Source organism: Homo sapiens, chromosome 18 (genome assembly GCF_000001405.40).
Source record: "Homo sapiens chromosome 18, GRCh38.p14 Primary Assembly".
Taxonomy (NCBI): domain Eukaryota; kingdom Metazoa; phylum Chordata; class Mammalia; order Primates; family Hominidae; genus Homo; species Homo sapiens.
In genome coordinates this window covers 12,708,761-12,730,378 of record NC_000018.10, presented here as the reverse complement: position 1 = coordinate 12,730,378, position 21,618 = coordinate 12,708,761, and the positions used below count along the sequence as shown (strand labels likewise).

The following is a 21,618-nucleotide window of genomic DNA, read 5'->3' as shown; positions in this document are numbered from 1 at the left end:
TCTCCTCTTCCTGTGCTCTATCAGTGGAACATCAAAGCCTGAATGGCAGCACATTTGTTTGAGCATGACTCACTGAATATTTTAATCCCACTGTTGAGACCTACCGCTCAGAAAAAAAGATTCCTTTCAAAATACCACCAGTCATTGACAATACACCTGGTCCCAAGAGCTCTGATGGAAATGTGCAAGGAGATTAATGTTGTTTTCATGCCTGCTAATATAACATCCATTCTGCAGCCCATGGATCAAGGAGTAATCTCAGCTTTCAAGTCTTATTTCAGAAATACATTTCCTAAGGTTATAGCTGCCATAAATAGTGATTCCTCTGATGGATCTGGGCAAAGTAAATTGAAAACTTTCTGAAAAGGATTCTCCATTTTAGATGACACTAAGTATATTTTGATTCATGGGAGGAGGTCAAAATATCAACATTAAGATAAGTCAGTTCCAACGTTCATGGATGACTTTGAGCAGTTCAAGACTTCAGTGAAAGAGGTAACTGCAAGATGGAAATAGCAAAAGAACTAAATTTAACAGTGGACCCTAAAGATGTGAATAAATTGCTGCAATCTCATGATAAAACTTGAAGAGATCAGGAGTGGCTTCTTATGGATGAGCAAAGAAAGTGGTTTCTTGAGATGGAATCTACTCCTGGTGAAGGTGCTGTGTACATTGTTGAAATGACAACAAAGGATTTTGGGATATTCCATAAACTTAGTTGACAAAGCAGCGGCAGGGTTTCAGAGGATTGACTTCAATTTTGAAAGAATATAGGTATTTACTTTGTGGTTATCCTGGGACTTACATGAGACATCTTATACTTGTAATAATCTATTTTAAGCTGATAACAACTTACTCAATCATATACAAAAACCACTTTTACAACTCTACTTTTAAATTATTGATGTAGGGCCAGGTGCAGTGGCTCATGCCTGTAACCCCAGCACTTTTGGAGGCCAAGGTGGGAGGATGGCTTGAGCTCAGGAGTTCAAAACCAGCCTGGACAACATAGCAAGATCTCTCATCTTAAAAAAATTATTTTTAAAATTTTTATTTCAATGGTTTTTGGGGTACAGGTGGTTTTTGGTTACCTGGATAAGTTCTTCAGTGGTGATTTCTGAGATTTTAGTGTACCCATCACCCAAGCAGTCTATGTTATAATCAACATGTAGTGTTTTATTCCTCACCCCCTCCAAACCTCCCTGGCTAAGTCCTCAAAGTCCATTATATCATTCTTTTTTTTTTTTTTTACCCTGAGATGGAGTCTTGTTTTGTTGCCTAGGCTGGAGTGCAGTGGTGCAATCTTGGCTCACTGCAACCTCCACCTCCTGGGTGATTCTTGTGCCTCACCCTCCCTAGTAGGTGGGACTACAAGCACATGCCGCCACATCCAGCTAATTTTTGTATTTTTTTTTTTTTGTAGAGACAGGGTTTCACCATGTTGGCCAGGCTGGTCTCGAACTCCTGGCCTCAAGTGATCCACCCACCTTGACATCCCAAAGTGCTGGGGTTACAGGTGTGAGCCACTGTGCCTGGCCTGCTAAAGTCCATTATATCATTCTTATGCCTTTGAGCCCTCATAGCTTAGCTCCCACTTGTGAGAGGTACAATATTTGGTTTTCCATTTCTGAGTTACTTTACTTAGAATAATGGCCTCTGGCTCCATCCAAGTTGCTGCAAAAGACATTATTTCATTCCTTTTTATGGCTGAAGAGTAGTACTCCACGATGAATATACCACATTTTCTTTATCCACTCATTGGTTGATGGTCACTTAGGTTGGTTCTATATCTTTGCAATTGTGAATTGTGCTGCTATAAACGTGTGTGCATGTGTCTTTTTCATATAATGACTTATTTTCCTTTGGGTATATACCCTGTAGTGGGATTGCTGGATCAGATGGTGTTCTACTTTTTGTTCTTTAAGGAATCTCCGCACTGTTTCCCATAGTGGTTGTACTAATTTACATTCCCACCAGCAGTGTAGAAGTGTTCCCTTTTCACCACATTCACACCAACATCTATTGTTTTTTTGACTTTTTAATTATGATCGTTCTTGCAGGAGTAAGGTGATATCTCATTGCGGTCTTAACATCTCCCTGATGATTAGCGATGTTGAGCATTTTTTCATGTTCGTTGGCTGCTTGTATATCTTCTTTTGAGAATTGTCTATTTATGTTCTTTGCCACTTTGTAATGGGATTATTTTTTTCTTGCTCATTTGAGTTCCTTATAGATTCTGGATATTATTCCTTTGTCGGATGCATAGTTTGCAAATTTCTCCCACTCTGTGGGTTGTCTGCTTACTCTGCTGTTTGTTTTGCTGTGCAAAAGCTAAAAAAAAAATTATTGATGTCACAAATTACACCTTTACATAGTGCGTACCCATTAAGATATTTTAACATATTTTTATAGTTACAGTGTTTGTTTTGATTTTTAGAGATGGGGCTTCACTTTTTTGCCCAGGCTGGTCTTAAACTCCTGGCTTCAAGAAATCTTCCCCAAGTGCTGGGATGACATGTGTGGGTCACCGTGCCTGGCCAGTTACAGTTATTTTTATGCTTTGTCTTGTCAATTCTGGACCAGAATTAAAAGTGCACTACCATTATAGTCCTGAAGGATTCTGCATTTGTCTATATTTAGTTTGCCAGTGAGCCTCATATTTTCTTTTTCTTTTTGGGACAGAGTCTCGCTCTGTTGCCCAGGTTGGAGTGCAGTGGCATGATCTTGGCTCACTGCAACCGCCGCCTTCTGGGTTTGAGCAATTCTCCTGCCTCAGCCTCCCGCATAGCTGGGATTACAAGTGTGTGCCACCATGTCTGGCTAATTTGTTTTTTTGTATTTTTAGTAGAGATGGGGTTTCACCATATTGGTCAGGCTGGTCGCGAACTCCTGACCTCAGGTGATCCTCCCACCTCAGCCTCCCAAAGTGCTGGGGTTATAGGTGTAAGGCACTACACTCGGCCACTCCCAATCTTTGCATACTGGCTTTGTACAGGGCAGACCTTCACCAGCTAGCCCAGGTAGAGATTCTGAAACCTCTTAAATGTTTTTCCAAGTTCAACTTTTTAGGATTGTGTTATTTCCCAACTGAAGGTTGCTGGTTTTTCATCTTGTAATCTCTTGCTCCCTCTGGTGTCTGTCTTCAGAATTGCACGTTCCCTAGTGCTGCAGCTGCAAGTCGCCCCTTTGTTCTCAGTGGCTCTCTGGCAAAGCATGACAGCTTCCTATAAGCACCCCAAGTTAGATGAGATGGGCAACAGTCCCTTGGGCAGCACTACAAAAAGCTGCAATGCTGGCGTGTAAGTTCCATTCCTCCTGGGAGAGAAAATGCAAGTTGGGTGATTTCTCTTGGTGGTGTCCAGCCACACTGGCCTGTCTGTGGTACTACAGGCTCTGGTGGCACGGCAAACGATCCTCCAACTCTCCCGTGCTTTTAGCAGACTCCAGACATCCAAAGGATGCCAGTTCTGTCAGTATTCCAAGTCAGACAAGACGAAAGAGTCAGAATCTTGGTCACATGCTCCAACGTTCTCTACCTCTCTCCCCCTCACCGAGTCTGCCCCCTTCAACCCAGGGAAAAGCCAGGAGCTGGCGTACTCGCCATCATGCTGGGCTGTCATCCTGGGTGGAGTAAAGTGAAATGACTCTTCTTACTCATTTCAACGTGGCTGTTCTTAATTTTGCACTCACCTGGGGATACTGCAACTTAACTGGTTTCTGGTATCCTGGTCTATAAATTAAACTGGTGTCTCTGTGGGGTAATGAGGACTGGTACTTCCTATTTTGCCATCTTGCTGATGTCAACCCCCATTTCATATTTTAACCAAAAGGGAAACAGAAATAGGCCACAGAATCCAGCATGATTTACATATCAAAAGGAAACCTTTCCGGAGTGCTGGGAAGTAGTTGTATCCTTAAATATTACAAGCCCTTGTGTTACAGATGAGAGAGCCAAGGCACAGAGGTAACACAGTGAAATCGTACATCCCAAAGACTAGGGGTGAACAGTGACTAGTATGCAGCAGGCACTCGAAAATGATAACTATTTTTATTATTTCTTTTATAGTAAAATTATTCTAAAATGGGGAAACTATCCTGGATTATTGGGGTGGGCCCAATGCAATCACAGGGTCCTTTTATAACTGAGAGATTTGAAGATGCTAAGCTGCTGGCTTTGAAGATAGAAGGGCCCATGAGCCAAATAATATGGCAGCCTCTAGAAGCTGGAAACAGCAGAACACAAATTCTCCCTAAGGCCTTCCTCAGGAGCAGTGCCCTGCGATCACCCTGATTTTAGTCTCGTCAGACCCACTGTTGGATTTCTGACTCCTAGAACTCAGAAGTCAGAATTTAAAAGCAAATTTGTGGCTGGGCATAGTGGTGTAATGCCTGTAATCTCAGCACTTTGGGAGGACATGGCAGGAGGATTGCCTGAGCCCAGGAGTTTGAGACCAGCCTGGGCAACATGGCAAGACCTCGTCTCATTTTACTTAAAATACAGAATGAAAATTAATTAATTAGTTAATGAAAAAATTAAACTGGTGTGTTTTAAGTCACTAAGTTTGTGGTGATTTATTAGAGACAAACTAGGAAGCTAATAGAGAGTCTGAAATTAAAAAAAATACATTTAAGACAAAATTACTTAGGAAATAAAATTTTATTGTACAAAATTTACATTTGGTGCATATGATGAAAAGCATGGCAAAGAGACCCTTAATCTTTTTTCTTTGATATTTACTGTGAAAGTAATTTCCTAATACCAGATCATACAATTTTTTTGTATAGAATGTTTAACAGCTGTGTTGGTAGTAAGTGTTTTGGGTATAAGGTATAAAACAGAAATTAGATCAGAAAAGTGCAGGGGGAAGACCACTGCCAAAGAGTAATCTCCAAGAACTTGGTATTTTCCACCGTGAGGCAGATACTGTGGGGTCATCGCTCTGTAATTGAAGAACAAAATATTTTAATCTTTAAACTTTACCATCAAATCTCCTTTTAAAGTGAATTATAAAACTCTCCTTTTGTGTTCCTTTTGGTTGGCACTTTTATAGCCAGGTTTTATTGTTAAGGAAAAATAAAGTTTCTTTGTCTTCATGTCAACTGAAGATAAATTTCTTTAAGTTCCAAATTATAAAGATATGCCAGAAAGGCTGTAGATGAAGTTTATTAGGGAAAATCACATTCAAAAAGAATAGGGATTAAAAAAAAAATCAGCATTATGTGATTTGTATCAATTTGTTCTTGGCAAAAGCATGAATTAAAAAGCTAGTTACCCATCTTAGAAAGCAGCCTTATGCTCAGTGTTCTGTTATGCCTAAAGGCTAACTCACTTCCCTGGGTGTAATGCTCTCATTTCATAATAGAGAAAAATATCAACTGTAATACATATTCAATAGCTACAGTATTGCTCACATAGCAATACTTTTTACTTCCCTAAAAAAATTCCTGAATTCCACAGAAGGCTTGTTTATTATTGCAAGACTATGTCTGGCATAATTAATCTAACATGAATAGTAAGTACAATGAAGAACTAAGGATTTTCCTTTTTGGAAAGTCAGCTTTAATGAAAAAACTGTAAATAATAGGTTGGTTAACTGTCCTCTAATTTTCAAAAGTTCAGCTTAAACTAAATTTTATGTAAAGATATGTCTATATTTAATACAAACGTTCACTTACTTGGTCTACTTAGGTAGTATATAAAGTGCGAGTTAATGAATACAACCAGACAAAGAAGAGGCTTAAGCTATAATAGAACTTACAAGTGGTTTGAGTATCTGAAGCCACTCATTAAGATACTCAACAAGACCTAATGCATCTGGGATGTTGTCCCCTTCTGAAACAAATTTCAGCAGAACTGCCATTTGGATTTCTTTAGAACAGCTACAAGAAATAAAAATAAGAATCAGTATTCTTTCATAGGGTACAAGAGCTGACTCTAGTGTGTCTGTTTTTACAGCTACGATAACCTACCTGGTTTAGGAAAGGAAAAGACGCCACACCATAAGATCACTTATCATCTCCCTTCGCCCCACACAGAGTTTTCTACTTGTGAGAGCAGGCCCCTGTAACACCCACTGGGGAACACGCACAATCATGCCTCACCCCATGGCTGCATGAAAAACCAGCCTTTCTGTCCTTGGCTACAGCAGATAAGGTATGTTCTGACCTACTCCCCAAACCTACTTCAGAAGACAGTAATTTTCAGAAGCACCACAGCAGAGACTGAAAGAAAATAACACCTAGTTACTATCTAAAGCAGTGAGGGAAACTGTGGAAGAGAATGGAATCATTAAAGGAAATAAAAGTTCCTACTTCTTCCGAAAACGCTGAGTGGTTATTATGTGTTAAGCATTATCTGCAAATTTTATGACAATCCCTGTAATAATCCTGAAGAAGCTATAATTAGCTCCATTTTATAAGTGAATCAGTTTGGAATAACGGGAACAAAGACAGACACCAGGATTCAGATTCTAGCTCTTCAACTTACCAGATATGTTGGGCAAGTTACTTAACCAGGGGTGTTCCTCATCTATAAAAGGGGGATGATAATGGAACCTACTTCACAGGTTGTTGTGAGGCTGAAAGGAGGTAGTGGAGGCAAAATGCTTAAAACAGTGACCACACAGTAAATATGAAAGAAGTATTAGCTACTTTTATGAGGTAACAGGTTTAAAGAGATTGAATACAGGCTGGGCGCGCTGGCTCAAGCCTGTAATCCCAGCACTTTGGGAGGCCGAGGTGGGCAAATCATTTGAGGTCAGGAGTTCGAGACCAGCCTGGCCAACATGGTGAAACCCCGTCTCTACTAAAAATATAAAAATTAGCTGGGCATGGTGGCATGTGCCTGTAGGTACTCAGGAGGCTGAGGCAGGAGAACTGCGTGAGACAGAGCAAGACTCTGTCGCAAATGAAGAAAAAAAGATTTAATACATAGTTAACATGCCCAAAGTTCTATATCTAGTAAGGTCTCTATATCTAACTATATCTAGTTAGGTCTCTCTAACTCCAAAACATAGTCTCCTATCATACTATAAACGCCTCAAGCTAGTGATGAGATGGAGATACACCAAGGCAAAAAGTTTCCTGCTTGCCAATAAATGCAAAAATTACTCCTAACACCCTAAAACCAAGAACTATGAGAAAAATGCCATGCCAAAACTTGAAAGCACGAGACTGACAGAGAAGAGAGCTACAGAAATAAAAGTGAGCCGAGTTCTAAGGAAGGAAAGGCACCGAGGAGACTCTGATATATACATTCGGAAGTCTCAGATGATACCAGGCTAACTTTAGTTTCTGTCTCTAAAAACTACAAAGTAGAAACTGTTAGCCTCACTCACCCTAGCCCAGTACTTGGTTCTCAAACACCTTAGGGGCTCTCAATCTTTGTATGGAACCACTATGAGCTCTGATGGCTCAGAAAATTCCAGTTCCTAAATGCGTCTGCTGTGATGGCCTCAGGCAAGGCTCTCGCCTGGAGAAGGCTGGCTCCGAGGCTGTGCTTGCATTTTCAAGGCTCTAACTTGGAAAGCGCAGGGGTATGCTCTTCAGCTTATCGCGCCTCTTATTAGTTTGTCACACAGTGTGGGATAATCATTTCAATATTACCCTCTGGTCTTCTGCTAAAAAGAAAGGCAGAGGATGACTATTATTATTACTTTTTTATTTGGAACTATTTTATTCTGGTTGATACAACTGAGTATTTTAAATATTGTTTCTTCAGGGTAAAATCCGCATTTCCTGAATGTTTGATGCTGAGTAGGTCTAACTTTTATAATACTTTCTGTTTATCACCGCTAACTTTGTGGGCAAGCTTATAGCTAACCAGAAGCTGTTCTTTGCCTGTCCTCATAGTTTCACCCTATACCCAAGAAGACAGACCCAAGGAAACAGACCCCTGGACTCTGATGAGCAGCACCCCTGCCCTCGGATTCTCTGCCCTGTATTTCCAGTTGCCTCGGCCTCCCTGTAGTCTTAACTGATTTCCTCCACTCAGCTCTGCTTGGGTTCCGCTCCCTGTGCTGCAGTCCAGAAAGTATCTCAAGCAGAAAGCCAGGCAACTGTAGACTTAAAATTTGCCTTCTCTTAGGGATGACAGCTATGTGCTGCCTGTAGTCCAATGTCTGGAAAACAGTTGTTTCATAAATTGTCAGGTTCCAGTATTTTTATGGCAGGAGGGCAAGTCTGATATCAGTTACTCTGTCTTGGTCAGAAGCAAAAGTTTAGGAGGATTGATTGGTAAAGTAAGTGCAACAAAGTATAGAAGAGGTGGAGTGCAGTGGGAGTGCAGACGCAACTTCCTTGTCTAGAAGACAGGAAAAGGCAAGATTGCAGACAGGAGGTGAAGGGTAAGTTGACTCTTAGAAAGGAGGTAGGTGTTTGCAAGGGGGACAAGAGAGGAACACGGAACAAAAACACAAGGGAAATGAGAAAATACTGAGATGAGTGAAAATGAAAACACGACATGTCAAATCCCAGGGCATGCAGTGAAAACAGCACTAAGAGGAAAATTTACAGCTGTAAACACATTCAGTAAAAAAGAAAAAAACTTTTAAATTAATAACCTAAGTTTACACCTTGGAAAAGAGAAAAAAAAGCAAATCAAATCCAAAGCTAGCGGAAAAAAATAAAGATTAGGTAAGAGAGAAATAATAGAGAATAATAGAATAATAGAGAATAGAAAAACAATAATCAGCAAAATCAAAACTGGTTCTTCAAAGAAAAACAAAACTGACAAATCTTTAGCTAGCTTGACTAGGAAAAAAAAGAAAAGACTCAAATTATTAAAATAAGAAATGAAAATGGGAACATCAACACCAATTTTACAGAAATAAAGTTGGGAGTTATTATTTATGGGTACAGATTTTTTAATTTAGTATGACGACAAAGTTCTAGAAGTAGACAGTGCTGATGGATGCAGATGCTGTGAATTAATGGCACTTGATTGTACGCTTAAATATAGTTAAAATGTGTGATAAATGTAAATTTTGCACGATGTATATTTTACCACAATTAAAAAAAAGTGCGCGTGTAGAGGTTGCAAAGAATAAGTATTAGAATCCCTAAAAAGTCACACAAAATAAAAGCATTAAATATGGCTTTTGAGAAACCAGTTCTTCTATAACCAAGTTTAAATCTTTCCCCTAAATGCAAGAGCTCTACAATAGTACCAGTTTTGTAAATATATTTTCTTTTTTTCTTTTTGAGACGGAGTCTTGCTGTCTCCCAGGCTGGAGTGCAGTGGCGCGATCTCGGCTCACTGCAAACTCCGCCTCTCGGGTTCACACCATTCTCCTGCCTCGGCCTCCCGAGTAGCTGGGACTACAGGTGCCCACCATCACGCCCAGCTAATTTTTTGTATTTTTAGTAGATACAGGTTTTTACCATATTAGCCAGGATGGTCTCGATCTCCTGGTCTTGATTGATCTGACCTCGTGATCCGCCTGCCTCGGCCTTCCAAAGCGCTAGGATTACAAGTGTGAGCCACCGTGCCCGGCCTAGCAATATATTCTCAAAGTTTCAGTAAGTAATCCAATACATTCTCTGACTTAATTTTGTTTTTTTTGTTGTTGTTTTTTGTTTGAGACAGAGTCTTGCTCTGTCACCCAGGCTAGAGTGCAGTGGCACGATCTCAGCTCACTGCATTAATTTCATTTTTAAGTAAAGTGGGAAACAAATGAACAGGCAAACAAACTCACCTTTCATCATAGAGTGTTTTTGTGATACCTCCTCCCGGAATGCGGATACAAAACTCGGAATCATCTATTTCAGGAATGCACCGGCTTTTTTCCATTTCTTCCCAGTTAAGGCTCTTTATTTTATTTTGAACACTTTTTTGCATGGAAGGTGTAAGTAGGTACCGGAAGGGAGTACTAGAAATAATCATATAGTTAACTTTTTAAAAACTCTAAAGCAAACATCGGTTCTTTAGCTAAAATTCTCTTGGTCTCCATATATTCTGCTGCACAGGCAAAACACAAGTTTCAGCAGACTTAAGTAAAAAATATTGCTCTGATTTGCTACTTACTTACTTACTTAGGAGACAATATAAAAAGACAGAAACACTTAGGCAAGCCCATTGCAAAAATTTCCCACAGCTTTCCTCCCTTCTGCCATGAAGCCTGTAATGTCTTTTGTGAAAGTCCTGGAAATTAGCTCATTTTGAAAGGTAACTCTTGGCTTGTTGGTATTTTTTCATCCTGGTTTTATAGGTGTCTAAGTGATAAAAGTTATGATCTACATCATCTAAAACAGTTACAGTGAGCCAAGACTGTGCCACTGCACTCCAGCCTGGGTGACAGAGTGAGACTCCATCCCCAAAAGAATAAAAAATAAAAAATAAATGATCTAAATGCTACATCTTGGGGCCGGGCGTGGTGGCTCATGCCTGTAATCCCAGCACTTTGGGAGGCCCAGGCAGGCAAATCACCTGAGGTCAGGAGTTCGAGACCAGCCTGGCCAATATCCTGTCTCTACTAAAAACACAAAAAATTAGCCGGGTGTGGTGGCATGCGCCTGTAGTCCCAAGTACTCGGGAGGCTGAGGCAGGAGAACCGCTTGAACCCAGGAGGCAGAGGTTGCAGTGACTCGAGATTGCGCCACTGCACTCCAGCCTGGGCAACTGAGAACTGGGCAACTGAGAAAGACTCCGTCTCAAAAAAAAAAAGAGGAAAAAAAAAAAAAGCTACATCCTGGGGACGGGCACAGTGACTCATGCCTGTAATCCCAGCATTTTGGGAGACCCAGCAGGCGAATTACCTGAGGTCAGAAATTTGAGACCAGCCTGGCCAACACAGTGAAGCCCAGCCTCCACTAAAATTACAAAAATTAGTCTGGCGTGGCGGCAGGTACCTGTAATCCCAGCTACTCAGGAGGCTGAGGCAGGAGAATCGCTTGAATCCAGGAGGTGGAGGTTGCAGTGAGCTGAGACCATGCCACTGCACTCCAGCCTGGGTGACAGGGCAAGACTCCGTCTCAAAAATAAATAAATAAAAGCTACATCTTAGAGTATAAGAGTATTCTATATGATATGTTATCAACTTTATGTGGTAATGATAGCTTATAGTTCTATTTCTGGGATACTCTGTCTTACATTTAAGAACTCACTCTGACATGCCAGGGAGCTACCCTTTAGGCAAGTGGATTTCTGCAAATACGAATGGTTGCATGTGGCCAGGTGCGGGGGGCTCACACATGCAATCCCAATACTTTGGGAGGCTGAGGCAGGCAGACTGCTTGAGCCTGGGAATTCGAGACCAGCCTGGGCAACATAGCTAGACCCTGTCTCTACAAAAAGTAAATGTTTTTTAAAAAATGGTAGCATATATGGAAATAACTGAAAATATTAATCTTTCAAGGTAACATATGGAAATAACTGAAAATATTAACCTTTCAAAAGTTAGCAACTTTATAAATCTTGAGTACCTTTTCTGCTTATTCTCTTCAATTAGCTGAGCTCTGTGATGTTGCCATGTATGTGACGGGAAACACTAAAAACATGGTTCCCAAACTCTCTCTCTCTACACGATGTCTTCCCCATGCCCCAACTCTACTAAGCTCACAGGAACTGAAAAGATCTGCCTAACTGTACTCCCTCCCATCTCCTGACCTTCTCTTACCCCCCTCTTTCTAAACTCCAGTAAGAAGAGGTAAGGATCTACGTGGCTTTTAAAGTTTAACTTTTTAATAGAGAAATTATCATAGTATAAACCATACCAAAAATAACTTTCCAGAGGCAGAAACATACCTACGAAGCTGCAGATCATTACGCTGATATGAATGACTGCTTGAAAGAACAATGACTCTGGCACAGCCACTGCTTTTCACCCAGGAAAGCAGTTTTTCACAGAATGGCTTTGATTTATACTTTGCACACCATTGAGAGAATAAAAAGAAAATCTAAAAGTTAGTCTTAGAGCATACAAACATTCTATATACTATTTCATCAACTTTATGTGATAATGATATATAATTTATATATACTGAAATTATTTTCAGATCCACTTACTGTGCTTAAACCGAAAGTGAATGATAAAGAGCAATGAATTATCTAATGTATCTTTATAATTAAGAAATCAATGGCCATGCATGGTGGCTCACGCCTGTAGTCCCAGCACTTTGGGAGGCAGGCGGATCACCTGAGGTCAAGAGTTCAAGACCAGCCTGGCCAACATGGTAAAACCCCATCTCTACTAAAAATAAAAAAATCAGCGGGGCATGGTGGCAGGCACCTATAATCCCAGCTACTCAGGAGGCTGAGACAGGAGAATCACTTGAACCCAGGAGGTGAAGGCTGCAGTGAACCGAGATTGTGCCATTGCACTCCAGCCGGGGGAACCGAGTGAAACTTTCTCAAAAAAAAAAAAAAAAGAAAAAAGAAAAAGAAAAGAAATCAATGAATCATGAGGAATCTAGATTTCAAAAAAAATCTATTGTGATGGACAAAGGACAATTTCCCAGTTCTCTACTTGAGTAATCTATTGTTACCTAATAACCAATACATGGTCATCTGTGAAGGGTTCTTGCCAGAAATTTGTGACCCGAATCTGGTCACATGGAAACAATCAGATGAATGGAGAATGCTCCACATCCAGCCCCGGTTCCTCAAAGGAGTCAATATTGTAAAGAAAGAAAGAGGGGCAGGCCAGTTTTACTCTGAAGGATAACAACTAAAAAGATGTAACAGCCAAATACAACCTGTGAACCATCAATGGATCCAGAATTGAAGGATACTTTCGGAACAGCTGTGGAAATTTGAGTATGTTGGATGATACTCCTGAATAAATTCATTAAATGCTGGTTTTCTTGGGTGTGGTAATGGTGTCCTGTTCTTGAAAGATGTGTGCGGAAGTATGTAGGGGTGACCATTGCTAGCCTACTTCTGGATTGTTTCGAAGAAGGAAACTGTGTACGCGCATAGCGAGAGATCAAGTAGGTGTGGCAAGACATTCACAGCTGGTAAATCTGGAATGTGGGTTATAAAATTTCAGGGGGAGCCCGCTTTATGAAAATTTTTCAAAGACTGCTCATAAAATAACTACTCAATAAAATTTAAAATGCAGGTAAGAGAAATGCAGGCTAACTTTTAAAATAAGAAGGTAGTCTAGTGCAGCAGTTAAGAGAGGCAGGCTCTGGGACAGGCAAGGTGGCTCACTCCTGTAATCCCAACACTTTGGGAGGCCGTGGTGGGCAGACTACTTGAGCCCAGGAGTTAAAGCCCAGCCTAGGCAATATAGTGAGACCCTGTTACTACAAAAAAAAAAAAAATTATTACACATGGTAGTGCACGTCTGTAGCCCCAGGTACTCAGGAGGCTGAGGTGGGAGGATCATTTGAGCCTCGGAGGTCAGGGCTGTAGTGAGCCATAGTTGTGCCACTGCACTCCAGCCTGGGTGGAGTGACACCCTGTCTCAAAAAAAAAAAAAAAAAAAAAAGTAAAAGAAAAAAGGCAAGCTCTGGAGCCAGGCTGCCTGGGTTAGAGTGCTGGTCCTGCCTCCCTAAGATCATGTGTCAGGCAATTGCTTAATCTTTCTGTACTTCAGTGTTTCCTTTGAAAAATAAGGATAATATTAGTATCTGTCTTATAGGTTTGTCATGAGGATTAAGTAATAAATATAAGGTACTTAGAACAGTATCAGCACAAAGAATCAATGCTCAATAAATGTTTGCTATTTTGAAATTAGTCTTGTGGCCAGGCACGGTGGCTCACGCCTGTAATCCCAGCACTTTGGGAGGCTGAGGCGGGCAGATCACAAGGTCAGGAGATCGAGACCATCCTGGCTAACACGGTGAAACCCCGTCTCTACTAAAAATACAAAAAAATTAGCCGGGCGTGATGGTGGGCGCCTGTAGTCCCAGCTACTCGGGAGGCTGAGGCAGGAGAGTGGCGTGAACCCAGGAGGTGGAGCTTGCAGTGAGCCGAGATCATGCCACTGCGGTCCAGCCTGCGCAACAGGGCGAGACTCCGTCTCAAAAAAAAAAAAAAAAAAAAATTCACTCTTTACTTCCAGCTGCCAAAAATTTATATTATACGTTAAATAATTTTTCAACTTACACTGATTAGAAAGAGAACAAAAAGCCATGTGGCACAATGTAAAAATGTTACCAACTCTAACTGCAAAACTTTGGGTATATAATGTTAACTAAAGAAAGCAGTGATTCTAGTATAAGAATTAAAAATAATCTTAGCAGCACTATTCATGATAGTCTCAAACTGGAAATAATCAAATGTAGCATCAAAAGTACCATGGAAAAATTATGGCTTATGTATACAACTTAACACCACAGAGAAATGAGAACGAATGAACTATGGCTACTTCCAACAACATGGGTGAACCCCGCAAAGGGAATGTTAAGAAAGGAAGCTAGATGCTGTAAGTATATACCACAGAATTCCACCAATAGAATACTGACTAGGACGCATTATGGGGTCCTCTGGAATGCTGACAATGCTCTATGTCTTGATCTGAAAGCTGGTTTCACAGAGGGTTTACTGCATGAAAATTCACCAAGCTGTATATTTATGATTTGTGCACTTTTCTCATGTACGTCATACTTCGATAAAAAGTTAAAATAATGGCTGAGCACAGTGGCTCACGCCTGTAATCCCAGCACTTTGGGAGGCTGTGGTGGGCAGATCACCTAAGGTCAGGAGTGTGAGACCAGCCTAGCCAACATGGCAAAACCCCAACTCTACTAAAAGTACAAAAAGTAGCCAGGCGTGGTGGCGGGCACCTGTAATCCCAGTTACTCAGGAGGCTGAGACAAGAGAATTGCTTGAACCCAGGAGACGGAGGTTGCAGTGACCTGAGATCACGCCACTGCACTCCAGCCTGGGCGACAAGAGCAAGACTCCATCTCAAAAAGAAAAGTTAAAATAAAAAGTACTATGCAGTTAACCATGTCACTAAAATCCTGTATTTCTAACCTCCTGAAAAGATGATACCTCAGGTCATTCCAAAAAATCCCTTAGCAAATATTTACTGAGAGCTTCTCTATGTGCATGACACTATCTTATGAGCTGGGGATATAAAAGTAAATGACACTTCATCATTCCTTTCAGAAGCTTACTTTCGGCTGGGTGTGGTGGCTCACACCTGTAATCCCACTACTTTGGGAGGTTGAGGCGGGCAGATCACCTGAGGTCAAGAGTTTGAGACCAGCCTGGCCAACATGGTGAAACCCCATCTCTACTAAAAATACAAAAATTAGCCAGGTGTGGTGGCGGGCACCTGTAATCCCAGCTACTCAGGAGGCTGAGGCAGGAGAATCGCTTGAACCCAGCAGGCAGAGGTTGCAGTGAGCTGAGATTGCACCACTGAACTCCAGCCTGGGTGACAAGAGTAAAACTCTGCCTCAAAAAAAAAGAGGGCCGGGCACAGTGGCTCATGCCTGTAATCCCAGCACTTTGGGAGGCTGAGGTGGGTGGAGTGGGTGGATCACCTGAGGTCAGGAGTTTGAGACCAGCCTGGCCAACATGGTGAAACCCCATCTTTACTAAAAATACAAAACTTAGCCGGGCACAATGGCACACGTTCGTAATCCAGCTGCTTGCGAGGCTGAGGCAGGAGAATCACTTGAACCCAGGAGGCGGAGGTTGCAGTGAGCTGAGATCACGCCATTGCACTTTGGGGAAGCTGAAGCATGAACTGCTTGAGCTCAGGAGTTCAAGACCAGCCTGGGCAACATGGCGAAACCCCACCTCTACAAAAAAATACAAAAATTAGCCGGGTGTGGTGGTGCATGCCTGTAATCCCAGCTACTCGGGAGGGTGAGGTTGGAGAATGGCTTGAGCCTGGGAGGCAGAGGTTGCAGTGAGCCAAGATCACGCCACTGCATTCCAGCCTGGGTGACAGAGCAAGAGAGACCCTGTTTCAAGGAAAAAAAAAAAAAAAAGGAAGAAAGGATTGTTTAGGAGGGCCTTTCTCATGAAGAAACATTTAAGAAAACAGTAAAGGAGGCAAACCATTGGAGTCTCTAAGAAAATGAATTTCGGCAGAGAAGCTAGTGGAAAGACTGAGACAGGATGAGCTTAATGTCTAACAACACAGGGAAGCCAGTGTGGCTGCAGGTTAGGCTCTGCAAAGCAGCAGTCTGGCAGAGCTCCTGTGAGCATGACTCTTGTTATGCTGGCTTTTTGCATATGGGGCTCCTGCGAACTTGGAACGTGAGGAACTGAATTTTAAATTTATGAATTAAACTGTAAATAGTTACATGTAGCTAGTGGCTACTGTATTAGCACAGATATACAGCCTCATAGGCCACAGTAAGGGCTGTGAATTTGAAACCATCCTCAAAGAGTTAAAGAAACCAATGACTAACAAATTCTTGAGTTTGGACTGGGCGTGGCTTACACCTGTAATCCCAGCATTTGAAAGGCCAAGGTGGGTGGATCACTTGAGGGCAGGAGTTGGAGACCAGCCTGGCCAACATGGCAAAACCCCGTCTCTACTAAAAATACAAAAATTAGCCAGTGTGGTGGCGTGTCCCTGTAATCCCAGAGGCTGAGGCAGGAGGATCACTTGAACCCAGGACGGCAGAGGCTGCAGTGAGTTGAGATCACATCAGTGCACTTAAGCCTGGGCATCAGAGGAGACTGTCTCAAAAAAAAAAAAAGAAAGAAATTATTGAGTTTGCAGGGTAGCAGATAAGAAACTACTTGGTAAAATACTGAAACTTCCTCCCCTTATGGGATAAAAGAACTGGCTGAAATTGGTTGGAACCAATATGGCCAAGTAGAGTCTGCAGAGAACAAGCTTCCTGGTGTCGCAAGCTGACTCTCCATCACGTTTCATACTCATTCCCCTGAATTGGCACATGAGCCCTATGAGTTAGCATGAGGAGATAACTGTGCATGCCCAAGGACCTTCCAGATGTCCCCTTTCCTTCCATCGCTCACCTACTGATCTCAGAATCCACCCTCTGAACCTTTTCTAATAAAAACACTGCCTTGAAGTCAGCACAGGGAGGCAGATTTGAGGTCGACTCCTGTCTCCTTGGGAGTCAATTTGCAATATAAAGCCTTTCTTGTCTCAAAAACCTGGTGTCACAGTGCATCAGGAAGCGAGCCCCTTTTCCTGGATCACAATTTTGAGTGAGAGGAGAAGCCACTGGAGGGTTTCAAAGAGAGTAGTGATGTGGTGTACGTTTAGAGGATCATCAGTGCTGCTGTTTGTGGGAGGCAGATCAGCAAGTTAGTCAGGGGCATGAAGATGACACTGGTTTGCACTCAATGACAGCAGTGGAGGAGGAAAGAAGTCGGATTCAGAATATTTTATGACATATACATAATTTGATATATACATAGTTTATATGTAGATGCCACCAGCTGAAAGGTAATACAAATGGAATAAACCTCTAATATTAATATGCTTACATTTTTTCACCAATGCTACCCGAACTGAAAATATGTTAACACTCAAGATAAAAGCCCTGCTTCCTTTCTATATAATCATGAAAAGACAGTAACACATCTGAAATATTGTAAGATTATTTCTCTGTAGAATCAGATCTTAACTGTACATATGGTAAAAACAGTAGTAATTTTTGAATCTTAATCCCTAATGTTACTTATTTTCTCATTACACTTTAATAAACAAAAAGGCAAACTACAACATACTAACCTTAATAAAAATGGATCTTAACTGTAGAGCCACCAGCTTTCTTGAAGGCAATGAATACACTATAAAAACAAGAAGAAAATGAAATCATATGACAGTGAAGTTATACAAGTTGAAATTATTATGATAAACAAAAATTGAATTATAATACCTTTTGCATTTAAATGTTTTCAATAATTAAAATACGGAACATATATGACATCTGGTTAAAATAAGACCTTTTAGAAGTACCTTAAAATAAGCCAGTGGGCTTTATTCTATGGAACAGATTCATTTCTGAAAAGTTAACTGTAAGAAAATATAAAAAATTATTTTTCTTTTGACTTTAACTGCAAAACCAGAGAAGTATTCCCCTGAAAATTTCTGGTATTATGACAAATAAAATCATCCTTAAGAAAACTGAACTTTTTGGCTTTTGATATTCTCCCCTCTTTGTCTCCAGAGAACAGCAACACTCATTGGGATTAACAGAAAAAACAGTAAAAGGTAGGAGAATGTTAGCCATGTAATAAAATCCTGAAATAGGTACATGTGTGTTCCTTAGAACTTTTTAAAGGATCTGAAATAACATAAAATGTCATGTGAGTCAATGTGTTTGTATTTTTTACTGGGAAAAGGATCCATAGCTTTCATCAGGTTCTACAAGGGGCACACTCTAGAAATGCTTAAGGCTTCCCTGCCCAACTTCATTTCTAAGAATGAGAAGCAGCTGGGCATGGTGGCTCACGCCTGTAATCCCAGCACCTTGGGAGGCTGAGGCAGGTGGATCACAAGGTCAGGAGATCAAGATCATCCTAGCTAACATGGTGAATGAAACCCCGTCTCTACTAAAAAATAAAAAAATTAGCCAGGCTTGGCGGCGGGCACCTGTAGTCCTAGCTACTCAGGAGGCTGAGGCAGGAGAACGGCGTGAACCCGGGGGGCGGAGCTTGCAGTGAGCAGAGATCGCGCCACTGCACTCCAGCTTGGGCAACAGAACAAGACTCCATCTCAAAAAAAAAAAAAAAAAAAAAGAATGAGAAGCTCCTGAGTCAGGGATAAAATACTCTCTAAGGACACAGGATTACTACTGTGCTAAGGGGTAAGTGTTGGTTACCATAAACAGATTGCAAATAACAGCAAATCCTTTGGTGGATCAGGTCTCTACTGTTACAGGTCTTTCGGAAATTGTCTCCTATGGCTGGCGTGATGTGGTGTGACTGGGGGGTATGCTGAACTCAGCAAATCTAGCAAGCACCAGGTATGTTCAGTCCAAAGGAAGTTTAGGAATTAGGGAAAAGGGTATAAATTTAGGGAAAAGAGACTAAGGCAAAGATTACTCAGCCTCTAACCTATCTGTGACAAACACATGTAGTCCAATTCAACTGACCTAGGTTTGAAAAGAATGTATCTGTAGGGGGTGGACAGGCTAAGCTTTTTAAAATGTAAGCTACCACTTCTTCGGTGATAGCAATACTCTCCTCATCAGCGTATCATACAATTCTTTTTTTTTGAGACAGAGTCTCGCTCTGTCACCCAGGCTGAAGTGCAGTGGTGCGATATCGGCTCACTCCAACTTCTGCCTCCCAGGTTCAAGTGATTCTTGTGTGTCAGCCTCTCAAGTAGCTGGGATTACAGGAGCACACCACCACGCCTGGCTAATTTTTGTTTTTTGTTTGTTTTTTAAGACAGAGTCTTGCTCTATCACCCAGACTGGAGTACAATGGTGTGATCTCGGGTCACTGCAACCTCTACCTCCTGGGTTCAAGCGATTCTCCTGTCTCAGCCTCCTGAGTAGCTGGGATTTCAGATGCACACCGTCACAACGGGTTAATTTTTTGTATTTTAGTAGAGACAGAGTTTCATCATGTTACCCAGGCTGGTCTCGAACTCCTGAGCTCAGGCAATCCACCCGTCTTGGCCTCCCAAAGCGCTAGGATTACTAGCATGGGCCACCGTGCCCGGCCTATGCAATTCTTTTTGTTGTTAGGTTCCTGTTTCCTAGTACTTTTTTCTTCTGATGTGATACATTACGAAAGCAACAACACCTTTTCTGTATTCTGCCCCAAAACATTAACCTTTTATCTAATCAAGCCTTTAGAGCTAACTCCAGTTACAGAAAACACAGGGGCTAGAACAACAAGCCAAGTGACAAGAGGACGTAATCAGACAAATCAGAAGGTGGGACATTGTACAAAACAATACACCTAGTCTTTTCTTCAATAAATCGGTTTGTGATGAAAAAAAAGGGACTGCTCTAGAGTAAAAGAGATTTCAAGGGCACAGCACAACAATCGGATATATGAGGGGTCTTCAAAAAGTTCACAGGAAATGTGTACTTACGAAAACATTTTGCACCAAAATAAACTTGTACTGACTTGCTGTAACACGCCTGAAAAGGATCTGGTTTGAGGCACTAAGAAGGATAAGGCATTAAGTGCCCCTATCACAGCAACATGAATTCTGCTTAAACTGAAGCAAGAACATCAAATTTATGGTGAAGCTTGGGTAGATAAATGGTGAAATCACAGATGCTTTAAAAGGGGCGGGCGTGGTGGCTCACACCTGTAATCCCAGCACTTTGGGAAGCTGAGGCGGGCAGATCATGAGGTCAGCAGATGGAGACCATCCTGGCTAACACAGTGAAACCCCGTCTTACTAAAAATACAAAAAAAGTAGCCGGGCGTGATGGCGGGTGTCTGTAGTCCCAGCTACTTGGGAGGCTGAGGCGGAAGAATGGCGTGAACCCGGGAGGCAGAGCTTGCAGTGAGCCGAGATCGTGCCACCGCACTCCAGACTGGGCGACAGAGCAAGACTCCATCTCAAAAAAAAAAAAAAAAGTTTATGAGGGCTGGGCGTGGTGGCTCATACCTGTAATTCCGGCACTTTGGGAGGCTGAGGCGGGTGAACTGCCTGAGGTCAGGAGTTCAAGACCCACCTGGCCAACATGGTGAAACCCTGTCTCTACTAAAAATACAAAAATTAGGCCAGGCGTGGTGGCTCACGCCTGTAATCCCAGCACTCTGGAAGGCCAAGGTGGTTGGATCACCTGAGGTCAGGAGTTCAACACCAGCCTGACTTGCATGGTGAAACCTCATCTCTACTAAAAATACAAAATATTAGCTGGGCGTGGGGGCGTGGACCTGTAATCCCAACTACTCCAGAGGCTGAGGCAAGAGAATTGCTTGAACCCGGGAGGTGGAGGTTGCAGTGAACCAAAATCGTGGCATTGCACTACAGCCTGGGCAACAAGAGCAAAACTCTCTGTCAAAAAAAAAAAAAAATACAAGAATTAGCTGGGTGTGTGGTGAGTGCCTACAATCCCAGCTTCTTGGGAGGCTGAGGCAGGAGCATCTCTTGAACCCAGGAGGCAGAGGTTGCAGTGAGCCGAGATCCCGCCACCACACTCCAGCCTGTGTGACGGAGTGAGACTCCATCTCAAATCGGGCGCGGTGGCTCACGCCTGTAATCCCAGCACTTTGGAGGCTGAGGCAGGCAGATCACGAGGTCAGGAGATTGAGACCATCCTGGCTAACATGGTGCAACCCCGTCTCTACTAAAAATACAAAAAATCAGCCGGGCGTGGTGGCATGTGCCTGTAATCCTAGCTACTCAGGAGGCTGAGGCAGGAGAATCGCTTGAACCCGGGAGGCAGAGGTTGCAATGGGCCGAGATCGTGCCACTGCACTCCAGCCTGGGCAACAGGGCGAGACTGTCTCAAAAAACACCCAAAATAAATAAATAAAATAAAATAAAATAAAGTTTACGGGGGCCGGGCGCAGTTGCTCCTCACACCTGTAATCCCAGCACTTTGGGAGGACGAGGCAGGCGGATCATCTGAGATCAGGAGTTTGAGACCAGCCTGGCCAACATGGCGAAACCCCATCTTTACTAAAAACACAAAAACAAAAAGTAGTCGGGTGTGGTGGTGGGCACCTGTAATCCCAGCTACTCGGGAGGCTGAGGCAGGAGAATCGCTTGAACCCGGGAGGCAGAGGTGGCAGTGAGCCGAGATTGTGCCATT

The 21,618-nt window shown here is 42.2% G+C and overlaps 1 protein-coding gene across 2 annotated transcripts in view, besides 1 other annotated feature; it reads right to left on the bottom strand.

The window, feature by feature from the left end:
* Positions 1-4,638: 4,638 nt before the first annotated feature.
* PSMG2 (proteasome assembly chaperone 2) overlaps positions 4,639-21,618 on the bottom strand; it is a 67,003-nt gene continuing 50,023 nt past the window's right edge. For both annotated transcript variants that reach the window (NM_147163.2, NM_020232.5), the window contains exons 3-7: positions 17,619-17,677; positions 11,744-11,862; positions 9,696-9,869; positions 5,760-5,880; positions 4,639-4,940 (exon numbers count right to left, since the gene is read on the bottom strand). In NM_147163.2, the coding sequence (NP_671692.1) occupies positions 4,848-4,940; positions 5,760-5,880; positions 9,696-9,869; positions 11,744-11,862; positions 17,619-17,677 (566 nt within the window). In that variant the 3' untranslated portion in view covers positions 4,639-4,847. The remainder of the gene's footprint in view (positions 4,941-5,759; positions 5,881-9,695; positions 9,870-11,743; positions 11,863-17,618; positions 17,678-21,618) is intronic.
* Positions 7,091-7,592: an enhancer, noted in NCBI's record as "NANOG hESC enhancer chr18:12722786-12723287 (GRCh37/hg19 assembly coordinates)". NCBI's record gives its function as "activates a minimal SCP1, AML or CMV promoter by ChIP-STARR-seq in naive H9 embryonic stem cells {active_cell/tissue: H9 hESC(naive)}" and the evidence as "EXISTENCE:reporter gene assay evidence [ECO:0000049][PMID:30033119]".